Raw genomic sequence first — 21693 nt, forward strand, 5'->3', positions numbered from 1 at the left:
TAGTACATACACAACCTGAGATATGCCAGACCAAACGTTTCAATAATATTATAGTGAGGATGGATTTCATGTTCACAGAAAAATTAAAAATTTTAGTGACTTATTTTCCTTTTTTTTTTAATAAAAATTTATCTGTATTTTTTGTAAACATTCGTTTCTTCTTCCAGGGACAGTATGTGCTTATTCCATGGTATACGCTATTTTCTTCCCAATTTATTTCTTTTGTTAAGTCCTGAGTGAAAACCTTTGCAGGGTCTGGTTAGAGAAAAGAACCTGATTGAGCAGTCTGACTAATATTTGTTATCCCCATTCTTTTATCCAGATTGTGAAGAGGGCTTAGGAACACCCCTTGGTGGGTGGCACTTGAATGGGTTCGATTCCCACCTAGGTGCTGCATGAAAAGCAAGTTGTTTGAGAGGAAATTTAATTCCAAGGAAAATCAATAGAAATCATCAGAATAAGGTCAACCAGAAAATATTACCTAGGAGACCATGGAAATCATCATTCGGGAAAACCAAAGACAGACCAGAGAACATCTGAGTTCCTAATCAATAAGCCAAATGGGGGTGACTCAGCAGAGCCATGAAAGGAGCACAATTAAGGAGCGGCAATAAAAATGTATGACAAAGAAAAATGAGAAACCAGTTACTGTAGCTCAGGTCCACTTTACCATGAGCCAAAGTAAAATCTAAAAAGACTTTAACTAGGCAATACAGGCCTAACACTTGCGTTGAGGAGACAAGAAGAGAAGCATGAGCTCTGAAATTCTTCGAGGAAAGGGAGTGTAAAGATGAGCATTTCTGAGTTGTAAAGGGATAGAAAAGATGTATTCAGTAGTTTGCTACTAGGTCCTAATAATATTTAAAGATATGCATCCAAAATAAATGAGATAACTGGGGAAAAATGAGAATAGACTATTAAGAAAACTATATTTTTTGTTAGAGAAGATTTGGTTTTAAATTCCATTTATACAGCTAAGATTTCATATCATGCAGGCAATTTTTCTACATGTCAGCATTCTGACAAATGTCTGCCTCAGTTTATTATTTAAAACAATTAAAATAAGTGAGTGACCCAAGGGGTAGAGAATTGCTGCAATCTCTCCAAACTCCACAGCTAACTTGTATTTTGTCATAAGATAGCTAAAGGTCATCAAAATAGAAGAAATATAGTATAGGAAAAAAAAGAAGATAAATGAAGTCATAGTTTTAATGGCTCTCACATGAACTTCTGTGCTGGGGTCTCTACTGCCGGTAGCATAGAGTTTTATTTGCTTGGTATGTCTCCATAAAGATCTTACTAAAAGGAAAAATGATATCAGTGACACAATAAATGGGACAATTGCAAACAGGTTAAAGAGAGTCAAGGGTTCAAAGTATGGTATTTTACTCACATGGAACATTTCAGTAATGTTTCTTTTATGTTTGGCAATTGCATGAAACCTATAATCACAACTCAGTACTATTGCTGCTATAAGGCTGACCAACAAGGAAATGGCAAAGCATCCCAGCAGGATCCAGTGCACCACCATATCAATTTTCCACTTCAGCCAGAGAAAAAGTGGATGAGAGGAACTGGCTATCTTCAGAAAATAGAAGACATTAAGGCAGGTGGTAATCCACATATTTAAGTAGTTGGCAAATGTCCAGAAGGTAAAAATGACTATCTGTTGTTTATTTTTTGTATAAACATCTGGGTTCAGTACTATTACAATGCCATTTACAACCATTACACTGATCAAACAAATTCTGGCGATAACTAAATTGGTAAGGATGTAGTCAACTGTGGAAATCTTTTTCTTCTTAATCCAGTCAATCCAGTTGACTAGTGCAATGTATCCATTCCCCAATATTCCTAGTATGAATTCTCCAGTTATTAGGATTATAAAGATGTTATCTGCAGGACTGAACATGTTTGTAGAGAGAACAATCTGATTTCAAATATCACTGTAGATGAGCTAATTTACAGGTGACCTGTTAAAGCATGATAGATCAATTCTTCGAATCATGCAATAATGTTTTCATCTGCTGTTATTTCGACGTTGTTATTCTTCCGGAAGTGTTCAGCTCTCCTCTGAAATAGGATTGTCTCTACACTCCTGAAGATGAAACCAACTAATGAGCAGCTTGACTAGTTATTTATAGCCTGGAAAAATTATAATTATTATCCTTTAGTGAGTGATACCTGAAATGTTTGGCTGAAATTGCTCCCATGCAAATTCAAAGAGATTTTATATCATGAATTTGCAACAGGCTTCTTGCTGTAGCTCTATATTTGGATCTTCAAATTGAGTTTTGAATAGGGAGTCATAAAAAAAGAGATAAATGTTTAATAAAAACCCAACTGTGTAAATAAAACTTCATTTTCATCATGTAAGTTATAAATAAGCCACAAATCAGTTCTCCCAGATGCAAAGAAATTTTCACTTTGGAAGTAATTAGTACAATTAGATTGTAGATATTTAACATTTAGTCAGAGGATAATAATTCTTGTCTTCATTTAAACGGCTAATTAGGGAAGGATATAATACAAATCTAATTAGAAATGACTTTTTTTTAGGCAGGCACATGATAATATTTACTAAGAATTTGCTTTCTTTTCAATTGTTCCTCAGAAGTGAAATATGCCAGGTAAAGATTTGTTATCTTTAGTTTTTTTTTAATGTGACAAATACCCTTGAAGACAATTCATTTCCTGAATCACTGTCTCTTGTATAATAAGCATTGTAATCTAAAATTAAGAAAATTTAAATTTTACATTATTCTAGTTCCAATCAACTCCTTTTATAAGATTTGTAATCTCACAGTGCATATTATAGTCATATTTCTAGATAGGGCAAACACATAAAAAAGTAACTACTTGGGAGACTGAGGCAGGGGGATCATTTGAACCGGGAGGCAGAGGTTGCAGTGAGCCAAGATCGTGCCACTGCACTCCAACCTGGGCGATACAGTGAGACTCTGTCTCAAAATAATAATAATAATTTTTTTTTTTTACATACCAGTATTTCCAAGGAATAGGACTAATTCTACTATTAAATTAGATTTATTTGTTTTGGGGTAAGGGAAAGTACAACTTAGCCCAAAATACATTTGAATGTAGGTAATACAAATCACAATACCCTAGGGCTTCTTGTATTTAAATAGTTCTACAATGTATACAACACATGCAGGATTTTTTCTATTTCTTACATGTGTGTAATGTGTAACAGGAAAGCATAAACTTAATAACTTAAAGAAACCTAGTTATCTATAAACTACTGCTGGAAACAAAATAGAAAAGAAAATGATGCAGAGGGAAAAAAATATGTCAGAGATTTCTGAGTTAGAAGGCTAGAGAGAACATTCCAGGGAATCTTTGGGAAATGACTTCTAAAATTGCCATCACCAGCTAGAGTACTCATGAACACGCTGACTACTGGGACCCTCAACCTTCTTTCTCAAGGTGGTTCTGCTATACATAACTGTGCCTCCTCTCTCTGTCAAACTTTCATTCTTGAGATTATACTCCTTTTCCCACATCATATATCATCTTAGATAGAATCTCATTAAAGATTGTTTTTCTCCCTTCTTGATCAAGACAAACCCTTCCAGAAATGGAGAGGAAAGGGCGGTGAAGATAAGGACCGGCCTTCATTTCAAAGTAGAGAGTTGTTTTGCATGATTGATTTTATAGCAAGGGTTGATGAGTTCTAAAATCTTTTCCCCAAAGCCTGTTTGCCTGACATTCTTCTACTCATTGAGTTCAAGGCCTTTGCCAGTATTTGTCAGAAAAGAAGTAGAACCTCTTTGTATTTAGTCAATGACATAAAATGATGAAATGTTAGTGTGGGATTTAGATGCATTTTTTTTTTCTGCAACGACAAAGAATATACGGTGCAATGATAACATTAGATTATCCATTAAACAAGACAAAAGTGTGAAGGAACACAAAACAAATCTTCAGAATCATGACAGATATTAATGACTTCCAATAGCATATAAGAGAAAATGAATGCAAACAAGAGAAGGGAGAATGCCTTTTGTTGATTTCTTTCATCCTTGTAGTCAGGATACTCTTTAGGGGTCTCTATGGAACAAAAGGCTTTCTTCTTCTAAGGAAACACTTCACAAATCTTAACATCTTCAGAAAAGCTTCCCTCAACTTGCTATTTCCCATAATTAGAATGAATGAATGGCTTGATGGGAAAATGACAGTTACTATGTCACCAATCATCAACACTAATTTTCCCTGAGGAATCAGAGCGCTAGAGGTCATAACAAGAAAGACTGGGTAGTACACGATGAGGAGGAGCAGAAAGATGATCACTGCCTTTATGGCCCTCATGTGGGCCTCTGTACTGGGGTCTCTGAACCCTGTAGCATGCAGTCGAATCTGCTTGGTGTGTCTAACTAGGGAGAAAAGTAACAAGAAAAATGAGATCAGGCAAAGGATAAAGGGAACCATCACCCCCAGGTTCAGGGTTAACTGTTTGAAAGTACCTGGAATTTTACTCACTTTGAATTTCCAAGTAATGTTTTCTTCATGACTGACTTTGAAAAGGTGATACCACATATCATCATTCTTTGGAACACTAATAATTAAAGAGATAAGAAAGGACCCCAGAAGAATCGCAAGCATGACCTTGTTGATCTTTAGCTTCAGCCAGAAGAAAAATGGGTGCGATATATTGGCTATCTTGAGTAAATAGAAGATACTGAGGCAAGAAGTAAACCAGAGACTTGAATTATTGGCAAATGTCCAGACAACATTCACAATGCTTACTAGCACGCTATTGCCATATGTACCTGGAAAGAGCAGCATAAAGAAGCCATCTAATGATATTACACACAGCAGACAGATTCTGGAGATGGCCAAGCTGATCAGGATGATGTCAATCAAGGAAATATCTCTTCTTTTGAGCCAGTCAATGCAGTTAACTAGTACAATGAATCCATTTCCCCAAATCCCTATGGTCAATTCACCAGCAATTAAAATAATATATATTGCCTCTATTGCACTTGGCATGCCAGCAAAGACTTGTGATTTTTGAATATCACTGATGATGAATTGACTTTCAGCTGACCAGTGAAGAACAATGTATCTGTCTGCCTCTTAGACCATGATATAGTTGTCTTTATCTCTCCTTTTTGTTAGCTGTGATGCAGATGAAGAAGATAGCCAGTCCTGCTCTGGGCTAGAGCTGCCTAAAGACTTCAATGATTGGGGCCAGTAATTTCCTTTGGTGCAGTGATGACTGAAAGCCTCTAGGATGCAAATGGGAATGGATCTGATTTCTTAAATTTGCACACTCTTTCTTATTTTAAGCTCTGTATATTTTGGATTTATCAATCTGAGCTGTTGACCAGGAACTTCAAGAAGGTATCAATTACTTGGAAAATATGGCTAGAATTTAATTTGCTGGATGACTATCCATCCTTGTTAGTATATTGACATAGTTATTGCTATTACAGATTCTAGGTTTACTGTGTTAGCTTGTGTGGCCAGTTTGCTTGCTTGGTTGACTAAAGCTTTAAACAAATTATTATTAACATTAAATGAGGCTTAAATGGCATAACTGGTGGAATGTAGAGGAAAGAATCTAAAGGTGTAGGAAGATAGGAGTATTAAGGTGAATTTATCATATGCGAACTTCACCTTCTCCCCATTATATGACTTAAGAGGGCCAAAAGGACACTCCATTCACTAGGGCATTGAGAAATACATTAATTAGGTAATTCCCAATATCCTCAAAAAGCTCTGCAGTGTTTGTCTTCTCAACTGAAGATACAATGAGGGAAATAAACATGACATTGTAGTGTTGTCAGCAAATGAGACACGGAAAATTCTGGTTTAGATGTTAGGGTTTCTTAGAGTGTTCTTGCTTTGTACCTGAATGTAGCTTCCATACATAGAAAAAATAGTCAAAATACTGGTCACTTATCTTTAGAATGGAAACAGATCAGCCTGAACAGTGAGGAGGACAAAGAGCAAGAAAGTGATATTTTTGGAACTAAAAAGCGTGATAGATATACAAGACTCTTCAGTCTGAACTGAGTGATAAGAATACATGCTCTGAATTTTCTTAGCTCTATTTTTTGGCAGCAGGTGTATTATAAATATTAGTATGCTAATTATACACACATTGGAAACACACTGTTTCATTGGGACATATTGAAACATGTCATTGGGCATAGTAGAACATATTTGAAATAATAGAAAAAGGCACACAGCAATACACAGTTCCCAGAAATATTATTTTGAAACTAATATTAAATTTTAAGGCAATATTAAATATTGCTTATCAAACAAACACAACAATACAAAGTATTTAATGAGATAATGTGTCATATGTTCAGGGTTTTAGACAAAATAAAGAGATAAAAATTAATCTTGCAGATTTTTATGAGAAAGTAAATAGCTATTGTTATTCTATTCAGTGAAATTTGGGGTTTCTTTCATGCTTCTCTGTGAATTTTGTTTCTGAAGAAATATCAGATTATACAACTCAAAAATACACACTGTGCTTGTCATGACCAAAGCCATAAAACAGGTAATATTCTGAGAAGGACTTCACTAGAGTAAAGAAATTGATTTGCATGCAACTGACAGACAAGGTCGCACCATGTTCACATCTCAGGGAATGCAATATTTCATTATTTTAATTAAACTTTTTGAAAGATAAAATTTTGTGGAGGGGAATAAAGTAGGTTCAAGGTTATTATTTGGAAATGGAACTACTCTGGGATCAATTTGTAATGTCCAGAAAAGATGAAGATGAAAATATATCATGTAGGAGGGTGATTAATAACTGACATATTAAAAATTCCTGGTAAATCCAGATATAGAATCCAAGCTTGCCTTCTGAATCATGGTCTTTCCCACTACCTCACTTCTTTTCCTTAGCCGTGTGGAATACTGATCAATTTAAGAAAGTTATGCCTATATTCAAATGTAAACGAAAATATGCTATAGGATATGACCAGAGTTACCTAAGGGCCTATACTTACTAAAATGCCACCCTCTTTTATCTTTCCTTGCTATAAATAAAACCCAAATGATCTCAATTTATTTGACACCGTTGAATATGTTTTTTTTGTGTGTATTGTGTGTGTGTGTGAGTTTATGTGTTATTTGCCCTTTGGATTTTATCTTAGCATTGAGAAGTTAAAGAGGGATCCTAGCTGACAGACTTTAACATCTATTTTCATTGCAGAAACACTTTAATCTAGAATGTTAGTTTATTGATTATTTCTGTCTCTACTAGAAAACAGATGAAATACTGGGAAACTTATGACATCATTTCCTGTATGTCTTTCTATGAGAAGTGAGCAAACACAAACCTACTTAGGCAGATATTTCTTAAATTTCATTTTCTTTCCTTTGTTTAAATACTTTTTACCATTCTTTAGAACCTTACATCTTTTACAGGCATTTGTCCTTGAGTTATGCCACTGATTATTACTGATCAAGAGAAATGACTATACTCTTCAGATTTATAAATCAAGAACAGGATACTGCGATACTGTCCTATTTTCTGACAACTTATATTTTGAATAGTTGCTGACTTTATCTCCTACCCCATTCTAAACTCTTCACTATATCCATTGGGATCCCTAGTAAACCATTAGCAGAAGCCATATATTCTCATTTGTTTCTCTAACAGTTCACTTTATTTTCTTCATTTGAACTCGAGGTTCTGGAACTTTTTTGTTCAATGGACTACTTTGCCAGTCTGGTGCATGCTATAATTTCAGAATAATGTTTTTAAGTGCATGAAATAAAAATATTTGAAATGTATAAGGAATCCATATATATATGCCTTTTTCTTGCAGTATGAAATATATTGTTAATATAATATAGGAATTTATGTGCTTTTTAATTGACATAACAAAAATATCTGGCAGATAAAGACTAGTGGTGAAAGTAAATGACAATAGGAGGTACCTGTAACGACAAAAATTTTTGGCTTCCTGAAGTGAAAAAATTACAGATACTGCTGGTATGGTATGTGCTTGTTACTTACATTCAAGACAGAAGAAATACTAGACTTAAGCTAAGGATTAATAAAAATAAGTATATAATTTGGTGCCCCTCCCAGTTCATTCATCACTCATGTCCATGAATCTTTTCATTTTAATACTCTACAATTAAATCCTGTGGCAGCTGTTTTCTCTCTCACACCCTCATAGAAGTGGGTCTAAAGCTGGGATGGGTGTTTTTCTTTCCCTCTCGTAACTTTCAGATTACTCTACTCTCTTTCCTTTTTCCTTTTTTTTTTTTTTTTTTTTGAGACAAAGTTTCACTGTGTTGCTTAGGCTGTTCTTGAACTCCTGGCCTCTAGTGATCCTCCTGCCTTGGCCTCCCAAAATGTTAAGATTACAAGTGTGAGTCACTGTGCCTGGCCAGATTATTCTCCGTCTAATTCCTCACAAGACATACAGCAGTTCATTATCTCCTGTCATCACTCTATACAAAATATTACCTTTCCTTGTCACAATCATAAGCCAGTCTTCCTTCCTTGATTTTTGCTTTCTACCTGAAATTAAGTAGTTAAATATACTAAATTTCACCACCATTCTTTTTGCTAAAGTTCCCCTATCTTTTTGTTGGATGAAATAATCTTCTATTTTTTAAAAAAATTCATTCAGTAATCTTGTTTGTTGTATTTTTCTTTTTTTAAAATTTAATTATGGACATATAATAGTTGTACAGATGTATGGGGGTACATGTGAACCTCATGAAAACAGAGCAATATAAAGACCCCTGTTGAGAAGGGATAACATGAATGAGAAATATGCATGTCTCTTTAAGAAGAGGAACAGTCTTAATTAATGGATAACTATATAGAGTCAATAATTCAAGCATAAAACACTTTATTATAATAGCATATTGGGAATAGTCTTGTCTATTTGTATAAAAATGGTGAAGAAATAGAATATTTGGGATCCATGGAGACAAATAATTTATTTGCTAAATAACAAAATTTGGACAAGGCTTGAAATATATATAACAGTTAAGAGCTTCAGCTCTGGTGCCAGACAGCTGGAGTTGAAGCTTATTCTCAGTTTTAATGATTGTGTGATTTAAATTGTGCTGAATCTTTTCTTTCTCCAATGTGTAAAACATTGATCATAGTGCTATCTATCTCATAGAAATATTATACTTAAATAAAGTCTTGCATTTAAAATACTTAGAATAGTTCTTACCATATATACTCAAAAAATTTTAGGTACTATTATTATTGAATTTTTTGGCATTCCATTCAATAAATCACGATTCTCTTATCTAGTTGTTTTGCTATAGAGCCTTTATTAATGTGTCTTAATTACAATTTCCTATCCATAATATTTGGCCAAATTTCACATTTTATGATTGCCATAGTTTGAATGTTTGTATTTTCTTCAAAATTCATGTGGAAATGTAATCCCTAATGCAACAATATTAAGAGGTGGGGCCTTTTAGGAGATGATTATGATGGGTTTGCCATTATGATGGGATTAAAAGGCCTGAAGGGAACTAAATAGGTCTTTTAACCTTTCCCCTCTTCTGCCATGAAAAGATACAGCATTCAAGGTTCCATGTTGGAAGCAGTGACGAAGCCCTCACCAGACACCAAACCTGCCACTGCCTTAGTCTTGGACTTTCTAGCCTTCAGCACTATGAAAAAATAAATTTCTGTTATTTATAAACTACCTCATCTCAGATACTTTTTATAGCAGCAAAATGGACTAAGACAATGCCAGTCACATGAAATCATAAAATATGGCAACATAATAGTTATGGTTTAACAATTTGTTTTGTTTTCCATTACTCACTGAAAATGTAAACAAACTTAAATGGACTTAGTTGTTTTTTTCCTTCATATGTAGTTCTTTTCTTTATTCAATATTAATGCCCAGTGCATCTCATAATATTAATGGACAGGTGACTATTTTGTTTCTCTCTGCAATGGCATAAATAAAATGATTTTAACAGCATTTCAACTTAAACACAATAAATTATTTATTTATATTTGACAACACATCTAAATGTTCAGGTTAAGTAAAAATATTCTCAGATATATAGGTTTCAGACGTTTACTAAACATAGAACTTTTTTCAACATTTTGGAGGCTACATTAACAAAAACTATAATGGGGTGAGGAGATACCTATATGAATATGTGGAGTAAAGTTTATAAGAAATTTTGTAAGGCTTAGGATGTCAAAAAATTTTTTAAAAATAAGAAAAGAACATTTGTATACTATAAAAATCTTAAAACTCCAGTTGTAGGTAGAAGATCAACACATAAAACTGTGTTGTGTTTCTACACACCAGCAATCTGAACAGTGAATATAAAAGGTAAATTAAGAAAACAATTCCAAAATAATGAAATAACTAGGAATAAATTTCACCAAAGAAGCAAAATACTTATATACAAAAATTGATGAAACATTGCTGAAAGACATTAAGGAAGACACAAGTAAGTAGAAAGACATCCCATGTTCATGGATAAGATGACTTGATACTGTTAAGATATCAATACTACCCAAAGCAATCTAAAGATTCATTAAAATTCCTATCAAAAATTTCTACAGACTTCGTTTCAGAAAGAGGAAAACTAATGCTCAAATTCAGGTGAAATTACAAGGGAATCCGAATACCCAAAACAATCTTTAAAAAGGAGAACAAAGTTGGAAAACTCACATTTAATATTTTTATTTTATATATATATATATACATATATATATATACATATATATATATATACACATATATATATATATATATATATATATATATTTTTTTTTTTTTTTCCCTGTATGCCTCATTAAGTCTTCCCTGAGCCCTGGGCTGGCTTCTTCCATGGAAGATAGCAGAAGAAGCAAGGCTTGTCCCTGTTCACAGAAGATGCTAGCCAGATCAGGAGCTGAAGATAGCAAAAGAGGGAGAAGTCCAACCCACAGTCCCAGGCCCTGGTGAGTAAGGTCTGGTGCGAGGAGAAGGCTGATGATATGGAAGGGTGCTCCAGTCCTGCTTCTTCTGCTTGGAAATGGAGAATCCGGAGAACCTGGGGGATGCAAGATGGACAGGCTGCTCCTTGAGAACATCCAGTCTCCTAGAAAAAATGGGTGCTCTCAAGGTGACTGAATGAACTCAACTATGCCTTGTTATTTTAAAACCCACTGTCTGCTTTCTGAATTGACAATCAAGAATCCATGTGTGTCTTAAACAACAATTGTTCATTGTAGTAGAACCCACTGGGAGAAGCCTTTTGGCTCAGGAACTCCATCTAGCCACAGCTGATTGAATTAGGGGTGGATACCTAACCCAAGTGGAGCCAATCTTATTCTGTGCCCACTGCAATGTAAGATGTAAAATAGGTATTTTTGTCTCCTTGGATCAGTGCTGTATCTTTAGTGTCTAGAATTCTGCCTACCACACAGTAGGGGCTACATGAATATTTAATGAACAAATGAATGAATAAATAAGTCTCTGTGAGGAATTTGGAATTTTGACCTTGGAAACACAGAGAATGGCAGTTGTGGAAACTGAGTCACATTGGCTGCATAAGCTAGAAAGAACACCCACTCCTTCCCATGTCTGAGGTCTTCGGGTCTATCTCAGTCATGACTGAGTCCTGACTCTTTCTAAAGATGATTGGACTCCTCTTAACTTTAGGACAGATGGCTCAACATCCTAACTATAAAACTCCTTCCTCCTTTCCTGCTTACATTCATTTCTGTTGCAACCAAAAACCTTTAATGACATGCTGAGAAATTTTGCACCTTGACATATTCTGTTCCCCACCTTAGGAGCTTCTCTAGGAGTCATAATCACTCCTGGCTGTACCTTGGGCTGCATCCAGATCTGCCCCAATGCCACCACCCCCAGCTCTGTGGGCTCTGGCTCTAAGACTACAGGGACCCAGAAGCAGGAAAGAGTGGCATCATGGAATTCCATGTCCTTTAGGGCAGGTGGGAGGTACTATGCCTCTTCTCCATCCAAGACCGCTCACTACATCCTGTCCTCAGATATGGCTCTTGGGACCCTCAAGTCAGATACTCCTAATTTTTCATCTGCTTTTGCTCTACAGACAGAAAGAGGAGGTGCCAAAGAAATCTACAGATTCATTCAAATCCTTATTAAAAATTCTCACAGACTTTTTTTTTCAGAAACAGAAAAATTGATCCTCAAATCCATAAGAAATTACAAGAAACCTTGAATTTCCAAAACAATCTTAAAAATGGAGAACAAAGTTGGAAGGCTCACACTTAATATTTTAAAAATTCACTACATTACTTCTCAGCCTTTTGGCTAAGATCAAGTATAAAACTTACTACAAAGCTATGGTAATCAAGACTGTGTTTTATTGGCATAAGGATAGACATATAGATCAATGTAATGGAATTGAGAGTCTTGAAGTAAGCCCATATATCTATGACTAATTGATTTTGACAAGTGTGTAAAAATTCATTAGGGCATAAAGAGTCTTTTTGACAAATGATGCTAGGACAATTAGATATCCACATGCAAGAGAATGAAGTTGGACCCCTAACTCACGTCATATACAAAACTTAGCTCAATATGGATCAATGACCTAAATATAACAACTAAAACTAAATACACCTAGAAGAAAATTTAGTGGTAATCTTTATGACCTTGGATTTGGCAATGGATTCTTACATATGACATGAAAAAAGTAAGCCACAAAAGAAAAAATACTTAAATTGGACTTCACGCAAAATAAAACTTTTGTGTATCACAAGCCACTCCAAGAAAGTGAAAAGACGATGTATAGACTGGGAGAAAATATTTGCAGATCATATATCTGCGAAGGGCTTAAAATTCAGAATATGTAAAGAACCTCTACAACCCAACAAAAAATCCAATTTTAAATTGGGCAAAAGATCTCAACGGACATTTCTCCATTGATTTACAAATGTCTAGTAAACACATAAAAAGACGCTAAGCATCATTAGTCATTGGGGAAATGCAAACCAAAACCACAGTCACGTATTACTTCACATCCACTAGAATGGCTATAGTAAAAATCCTGGAAAATAACAAGGGTGGGCAAGGATGTGGAAAATTTGGAACTCTCGTACATTCTTGGTGGGAATGTACAACGATAAATCTACTGTGGAAAACAGTTTGGTGACTCCACAAGAAGCTAAGCATAGGAATTGCTGTATTATCCAGTAATTTCACTCCTAGTATACATTGAAAACAGGAACTCAAACAGATACTTATGTGCCAGTGTATATTGCAGCATAATTCACAATAGCCCAAAGGTAGAAATCACCCAAGTGTTTTTCAACTGATGAATATCTAAACAAATTGTGGTGTATACATACAATAAAATATTATTCAGTCATACAAAAGAATGATGGTCTGATACATGTTAAAATATTGGTGAGCCTTAAAAACATGCTTAGTAAACTAAACCAGACATAAAATGAGAAAATCTGTGTGATTCTACTCATATGAATTGCCTAGACTAGGCCAATTCATAAAGCCAAAGAGGAGATCAGAGGTCACCAGGAACTGTGGGAAAGGAAAAATAGGGAGTTACTGCCTAATGAGTCCAGAGTTTCTATCTGTGGTAATGTAAAAGTTTTGGACACAGAGGTGATGCTTGCACAACATTGTGAATGTAGTTAGTGCCACAGAATTGTACACTTAAAATGGTTAAAATGACAAATTTGTTATATAAATGTTATCACAATAAAATTAAAACAAAATAAATGTGTAAATTAAAAAATTAATATTCCAGACCATAAAAACATGCAGCATGGAAATGACTGTCATTAGATAAGAACAGGTTAAACTTTTAATTTTATATGAAATGAACATAAAGATACCAATTTTAAACCCAGCACATGAAAATTTGATATCAATAGAAACAGGAAAGGAAAAAGATCTGCAATAAAGCATTAAAATAGAGTAAAAAGAAGAAATGAGAAGATAGAAAACAATGCAATCACAATTGTATTGAGTGTAAAAATGTTTCTCAATAGTAATTTTGAGATTACATTATTAAATAAAGTGTCAAAAATGAAATATTTGTTTTCTACAAGAGACATTTAAAAATAAAATGCAGAAGTGTTGAAAATGCAGAGGTGGAAAACACACAATTTAGAAATGATAAATGCTTGAAGTGATGGATCCTAAATATCTTGACTTTTATTACACATTATATACATGAAACAAAATATCACATATACCTTACAAAGTTGAACAAATATTATGTATCAAAATAAAATAAAATAAAATGTAACAAAATTAGGGAATTTACCAAGGGTGAAATAAAATTTAAAGCAAAAATTTTCATGGCAAACTTTTTTAATATCAGTAAAAATAACCATAAAAAAGTAATGACCATGAATAAAAATGCAATTATCAACATTGCTTCAAATTAAATGCAACTACAAATAAAATAATTATGAGCATAAAGAAATAAATCAGTAATTGTAAGTGTAGGTTTACTAATTTAACTATTGGAAATTGTCATATATTAAAGACGTAAACAAGTAATATCATTAATATTGTTCATCTAATGCATATACATTTAACTTTAACACATCAAACTCATTTAAAGAAAATCATTCACAAAAATGGATCATGTATTGGGCCAAATGAATCTTATCCTAGGCCAAATATCATACACATATGCTGTCTGACTCAAATAAAATAAGATATCAATACAAAAGTTACCTTTAAAAATCTCATTATTGTTAAATATCTCTTGCATTAAAAGGAAAGTGTAAAGAATATTTTGAAATTATTTGAATTGAATACAATATAAGAACCATGTGCCAACATTTGTGGAATACATATAAGTTGATATTTGGGCAGAAAACATACAATTTTGAATACCTTTACTAAAAAAAAAAAGAAAGATTGGACAAAGCTAGTGAAACAAACAACTTTTGCCTTCAAAAGTATGGCAAACCATTATCCTAAGCAAATTAACACAGAAACCGAAAACCAACTATCACGTGCTCTTGCTTATAAGCGGGAGCTAAACATTGGTTCACACAGACGTAAAAATGGGAACAATAGACACTGGCGACTAAGTGGAGAGGGAGGGATGGCAGGGGTCAGGGGGCAAGGACTGTCAAACTACCTATTGAGTACCATGCTCACTACCTGGGTGATGGGTTCAATTATACCCCAAACCTCAGCATCAAGGAATATAACCTACTAACAAACCTGCACCTGTACCCCTTAATCTAAAATAGAAGTTAAAATTATTTTTATAAATTAAAAAAATCTGTATAAAAATATATGAAAAACCAGATGTCTGGAAAAATCCTTCCAGTCAGGAAAACATAAAGATACTGAAAAAGAAGCCTTCAGAAATATTTTTAAAGTGTATGGTCCAGCTGTCAAGAGAGTTAAAAAAGAATCCTCAGATGCCAAAAATAGTAGGAAAGTGCAAATCATGAGAGGAAACAGTGCTGAAGATAGAGTTAGTCCCTAACTAACTATCTTGGAGTTGGATAGAGGAGTTTATCGAGGAGACGGCATTGTCACTCTCCTTTAAACCAGTGTGTAAGTATTTTTTAATTTTGTTATGTTTTTAAATTGATGTTCCGCAGTGAAAAGGTATATGCAAAACTATCCCTAAAGGCTGAGGGAGCTGAGAGGCCAAAGAAAGAGTCTAACAATTCCAGTTTCTCAAAAAGAAATATTTATTGATTTATTTATAATTTTTACTTCAACAACTTTTTGGGTACAAGTGTTTTTTTGTCACGTGGATGAGTTATATAGTGGTGAATTCTGAGATTTTAGTGCACCCATCACCTGAGTAGTGTAAATTGTACCTAATATGTAGCTTTTTTATCCCTATCCTCCCTTCCAGCCTCCCCCTTTTGAGTCTCTAAAGACCATGATATCACTCTGTATGTCTTTGTACACTCATAGCTTAGCTCCCGCTTATAACTGAAACATACAGTTTTGGTTTTCCAGCCATGTGTGTTACTTCACTTAGAATAATGGCCTCCAGGTCTATCCAAGTTGCTGCAAAAGATATATATATCTTATACATATATATATCTATCTTATACATATATATATCTTATACATATATATATCTTATACATATATATCTTATACATATATATACACACACAATCTTTTTTAAAAGAAAGCAATATTTAATAGGAACTTATAAACAGAGGCAATGTCTTGGGTGGCCGCAAGATATTGGATCCCCACAGCCGCCCTCCAGAAAATATCCTTTATATATTAAGCTTTTTGGGTAAAACATGTGCAGCTCTTCATACCTCAGGCTCTCTTGCTAAAACTTATGACCATTAAGAAGGTTAGATAAGCATCTTTATGAGGGGCTCTCTATGTCACAGGAATTATTTAAAGAACTTGCTGCAGAACACATTGGCATGCAGGAGTTAAACATCAGTCGTTGTGGTAGTTTCGCTTCAGGATGGCATCACTCTTTCTACGCAATAGGCTATTTTCCTACGTTATATAATAATTACTGTACACATTTATCAGGTACATAGTGATGTTTTGAAACATACAATGTATAGTGATTCAATAGGTTAATAAGAAGATCTATCATCTTAAACGTTTATCATTTCTTTGTTGGGAATATTAAAATCCTCCTTCCTGGTATTTAAAACTATGTATTATTGTTAGCTATAGTCATCCTATAGTCCTATAAAACACTAGAACGTATTCCTCCTATCTAGCTGTATTTTGTATACTTTTACAAACCCCTATCCTTCCCAGCCTCTGGTATACTCTGCTCTTCTTTTTACTTCTATGAGATCTTCTTTTTTTAGTTTCCTTATATGAGCGAGAATATGTGGCGCTTAACTTTTTGTTTCTGGCTTATTTCAGGTACCATAATGTCTTCCTTTCCATCCATGTTGTAGCAAATGACATTTCATTTTTTAAAAAAAACTGTTATGGCTAAACAGTATTCCATTGTGTACATATACAGCATTTTCTTCATCCATTCATAAACCAGTGCTTATGTTTTAAAAGACCATATGCATGTTGGATAAGATACCTGGTTTGGACTTCTCCAAAGTTAGAAGTGAGATTGGATACTATCAACAAGCCAAGATCCCTGAAAGGCAAACCCTTAATAGGCAAATGAGAAAATAATATACGTCCAACAAAAGGCTAAAGTAGGAATACTTAACACTCAGCCAGGGCAGTGAATTGAAAGGGGAATGTAAAGGGGAATGAAAGAGGAATGTTGCTCTAAGAATTTGTTATAATAGCCTTTCACTCATGTATATTTGGGGCTAGAAGTTGAATTCTACATAGCCTAAATCATTACAAACTGAAAAGTTTAGCTTAAAGAAGTTGATACTGGAAGTGATCCCAGTCAGCCTTTACAAAGTCAAACTTTTTCTGGCAGACGTCACTGTAAACCTGATCTCAAAGAATTCCCACAGATAATATTCTAATAAAACTGAGTTCAAAATAAAATCATAAAACATGTGAGGACCAAACCAATATAATTGAAAGTTAGTACAAACAACAAAGTTAGTAATCAGAGCTACAAAGGCAGCAGATATCAGAATTAGAGCTTCTGCAGTCTGTGCAAATGCTAAGGAAGGTTCTTTCTCTTTCCCTTGTTTCTCAAAGCAAGTATGACTAAACAGATATTTTTTCACAGGCCTCATCTTTTATTTAATTATATTTTTCATATGACATAAATTATTGCATAGAAAATTACATAATACTACAAGAAAATAAAAATTATCTATAATCCCAATATCTACAGGTAAAGAACCTAGACATCCAGTTTATGTATAAATCTAATCAAAACAGATTTTTTAAGTAACATGCTTATTATCTGTCATCTATCTATGTTGAGATCTATTTTACAACGTATGTAGAAACATGTTAACAATGGTTAGTTGAGTACTGCAAATGTGCATAATCAATTTCTTCTTTATATATTTTTGTGTTTGCTAATTTTAGATGAAACTGTATTTTATAGTACAAAATGGAGCTTTTGATGAAAGGAACAGGTATCAGTAAAAATAAGCTAATATTGGCAAAAATAGCAGAAGAAAACATAAATCAATATGAGATCATGTAAATTACCCACCTATTGCCCCAAACATTACAAACTAGTTACTTACTAAACAGCAAATTAAGAAAAAATCATAACACATATATGGCATAGTGTTAATGTATAAACTAGTCACAAAATTGGTAAGAAAAACTATAAGACATGAAAAAATAAGGAGAAAACAAATGAACAATTCCCAAAAAGTATATGCTATTGGTTAATCCCGTAGTAATGCTTAACTTCACTAGTAATCAAATATATGTGAAGTAAAGATATTTTTGCAATCAAAGTAGTGACATTAAAAATAATAACCTGTTTGATTTTGAGACTGCAACAGGACGGATATTTTTTCACTATTAACATATAGGTTTATTATATCTACAGAGCAATTTATCAATTCTGCAAGGAATTTATCAAGTTTCTCCCCATTGGAATTTTCCTTAAAAATAATTTACATACTGCTGTCTCTATATATTAGTCACACTGGACCTTTAGTTTCTGGACTACCCTCTACTCCTTCTTGCTTCAAGGCCTTGACATGATGGTTTCCCACCCCAAATTTCTCCTCTTTTGTCCACCATACTCCTACACATTATTAAGATATCAAATTAAACCATCTTAACCACAGTGACATCTTGTCCATTCTCATGACCAGGTCAGGTCAGCATCCTATAGTTTTTCTCTCCCAATATCATAAATATCATTGTTTAAGTTAGCTAGCTATTCATTTGTTTTCTATTAGAATATATTATCCATTATATTGGTATGTTGTTCACTACTATATCCTCAATACCTAGCCAAGTTAGCATTCAAATAGTATTCATATGAATGAATAGTATTCACTCTCTATAATACTCATATTATGTTTATTTCTAAAAGTGGAAAACTGAAGACAACTTAAACGTAAACGATATGATAAACACTAAGTATATTATTGTATATTTGCAAGGGGAGTTATTATGTACCCCTTAAAAAGATTATTACAAATAATTTTTGAAAACATGGGAAAATGAATAAATTCTACATAATCAACATAATCTATACAGAGAACATAGTTCTTTATACAATATAATTTCAAATGAGCCAACCTGGTATATTTGGTTGAAATAGGCAGCAGCATTAGGTTTTTTTTTCTGTTATCTCTTAACTATCTGTACATTCTAAACACAATAGTTTAAAAATATAAAAATATTGATTTGGAAACCTGACATAGAAAATTAATTAAGTCCTTATATTTGGAAATATTCCACTCATTAGGCCATAAGTATGAGATCAAGGCACTTTCGGAAGTTGCCAAAATAAGTCACTGAGTTTATAACCTGGGTTGGACATAAAAGTTAACTTTAAAACTCAAAATTTGAAACGTTTCTGTGAGTGCAAGTTTGTGTATATGAATGTGTGTGTGTGCATGTTTATGTGTGTGTGTGTATGAAGCCTGAAGACAGAACATTTCATATTTCACCCAGATTCTATCCTGTGTTCATCTTGTGTCCTTTGGTCAGGGACTGTGTTGAATCTTGCAGCCTTTGGATCGATGCTTCTAGAAAAATCTTTACTCAACTTTAATTGGTTCATAACCTGCCTTATCTCAAATCACTGATTTTGAAGAGCATATTTATTTCATCAGTGTTTTGATCCCATATCCCTCAACTAGACCCTTGTTTCCCTAACTATATTTCACAGAACTACATCTACTCCTCTGACTACTTGCTACACATCGTACACCAGTAAAAAAGGATGTTAGATTCTAAAAAATGAAAAAAAAACCTTTAAATAATTAAAATAGCATTCTGTAAAGAAGTACCACCATCTATCCTCACTTCCATGTTCTAAATGTCAAGATTGATCTAATTTTCTTTCTTTCTTTTTTTTCCTTTGGGTTTTCTGGGAGAATGGGTGTCCTTGCTTCAGAAAAGTCAGGTAAAGCACAACAAGAAGTTTTATTTTAGAGCTTATTCTCACCGTTATAATCTTTACAGCGAATAGTCTCCAGGCTGATGGTCTTCCTCTAGGAAGTTTGTAGGAAGAAGTTGCAGGGTGGGGAAGCTGACTAAGCCACTGAATTTGCATGTGAGATTAAAATCTCCTCAAAGACTGAGATTCCCTGAAACATAGTCAAAACAATTATGGAAGATTTCAGTGATCTTTAATGACACAGTTAAAAAGACAATGCAAGAATGCAGTGCAATGAAACAGATCTTCAAGGATTTATTCACTGGATTCCTTTCGTGGAACATCCATCTCTTCCCAAGGTGTCTATGTGACTCTGAGATTTTTCCTTTTCTCACAGCACTTCAATTGCTGCAGTACCCTCAAAGAGGCTTGCTTTAGCTTGCTGTTTCCTAGAATTAAGATAAATGAGTGACCCCAGGGATAGATGGCTGTGGTTGTCATTCCAAACATAAGCAGCAGTTTGTTTTCTCGCACAGTAAAACATGATATTTCTATGGCCATGCCTATAAAATACAAGATAAAGAGGATGATGAAAGATATCAAAACTTTCATTGCCTTCACATGAGCTTCTGTGTTGGAGTCTCTCAATCCTGTCACATTCGATTGCATCTGCCTGTTGTGTCTCCAAAGGGAAATGATTAAAAAAATACATGTAATTAGGGATAGTGTAAAGAAGAAAATGACTCCCAGATTTAGCAAAATCTGTTTAATAAAGTATTCACTTTTATACATGTTGAGATCCCAGACTGTGTCATTCTTCGTTTTATAATCATTAAGAATCTTCGCAATGTATGCAAAATTAAGTAACGATGAAATAAGTAAGAATACTATCATGAAGGGAAGAACCATATTTGTTCTGCTCTTCAACCAGAGAAATATGTAGTTGGAAAAATTTGCTATCTTCAGGAAATAGAAGATGCTGAGGCTGGTGGCAAACCACATACTTGATTGATTACCAATTACCCAAAAGTAACTAATATATTCAATTAGGTTACCGGAGGCATATATATTTGGAGAGAATATCTGTATAAATCCATCTGTAATTATTATCCATATCAGAAAAATTCTTGAAATAGCTAAGCCGGTGAGAATAAAGCCAATCGTAGATAACTTATTCTTGGCACAGTCAATGCAGTTTACAAGTCCAATAAATCCATTCCCCAAAACCCCAAACACTGACTCACTAACTACAACAAAAATGAAGATGCCTTCCACTACACGTAGCATATCTGCTAATTCTTAATATTGCTTCTGTTACATCTATCTTAGATTACCTGCTGCAGAATGAGGCATATATTGGCTGCTCGACGGAAGTGTGACTTTCTTCTCTTTCATTATATAAAGACTTGAAATTGCCCCAGTAATGGCTTGAGATGGAATCAGAAATTTCTTAATGAAGACCTTTCCAAATATGTCTACAAAACATAGCTAGTCTGGAGAATGTATGTTCAGACTGAATGCCTATCTATAATTTGTTAAAATGCAAATGAAAGTTTCTGTTTCATGGATTTTACATGTCCTCCTGAGACTATTTTGCATTTAATAAATTGAATTGTGGAGGAGGAGTGCCAAACATATACCTATAGAATGTAATGCAAAACAGAAACAAAAATTTTGACTTTATCTTTTAAAATATCAAATCATTATTTATGTCATTTATAATCAATTTATATATGTACAGAAAATACTATATAGAAATGAAAAACAAATTTAGCCACT

The 21693-nt window shown here is 33.8% G+C and overlaps 3 protein-coding genes across 3 annotated transcripts; all 3 read right to left on the reverse strand.

Annotated features, from left to right (window-relative positions):
• Positions 1–982: 982 nt before the first annotated feature.
• On the reverse strand, positions 983–2218 carry TAS2R8 (taste 2 receptor member 8). Its single transcript, NM_023918.3, has one exon. It carries the CDS (start codon positions 1910–1912, stop codon positions 983–985), a length of 930 nt encoding a protein of 309 aa, NP_076407.1. The 5' UTR covers positions 1913–2218.
• Positions 2219–4025: 1807 nt separating this feature from the next.
• Positions 4026–5100, reverse strand: TAS2R9 (taste 2 receptor member 9). Its single transcript, NM_023917.2, has one exon. The coding sequence runs from the start codon at positions 5005–5007 to the stop codon at positions 4069–4071; it is 939 nt and encodes a 312-aa protein (NP_076406.1). The 5' UTR covers positions 5008–5100; the 3' UTR covers positions 4026–4068.
• A 15050-nt stretch (positions 5101–20150) lies between these two features.
• On the reverse strand, positions 20151–21290 carry TAS2R10 (taste 2 receptor member 10). Its single transcript, NM_023921.2, has one exon. The coding sequence runs from the start codon at positions 21199–21201 to the stop codon at positions 20278–20280; it is 924 nt and encodes a 307-aa protein (NP_076410.1). The 5' UTR covers positions 21202–21290; the 3' UTR covers positions 20151–20277.
• Between the last annotated feature and the right edge of the window lie 403 nt (positions 21291–21693).

The sequence above is a fragment of the Homo sapiens genome, chromosome 12, assembly GCF_000001405.40.
Source record: "Homo sapiens chromosome 12, GRCh38.p14 Primary Assembly".
In the NCBI taxonomy this organism is placed as follows: domain Eukaryota; kingdom Metazoa; phylum Chordata; class Mammalia; order Primates; family Hominidae; genus Homo; species Homo sapiens.

Bases quoted from the DNA above. Each gene is read 5' to 3' on its own strand.
- TAS2R8 (NM_023918.3), bottom strand. From the start codon at position 1,912: ATGTTCAGTCCTGCAGATAACATCTTTATAATCCTAATAACTGGAGAA.
- TAS2R9 (NM_023917.2), bottom strand. From the start codon at position 5,007: ATGCCAAGTGCAATAGAGGCAATATATATTATTTTAATTGCTGGTGAA.
- TAS2R10 (NM_023921.2), bottom strand. From the start codon at position 21,201: ATGCTACGTGTAGTGGAAGGCATCTTCATTTTTGTTGTAGTTAGTGAG.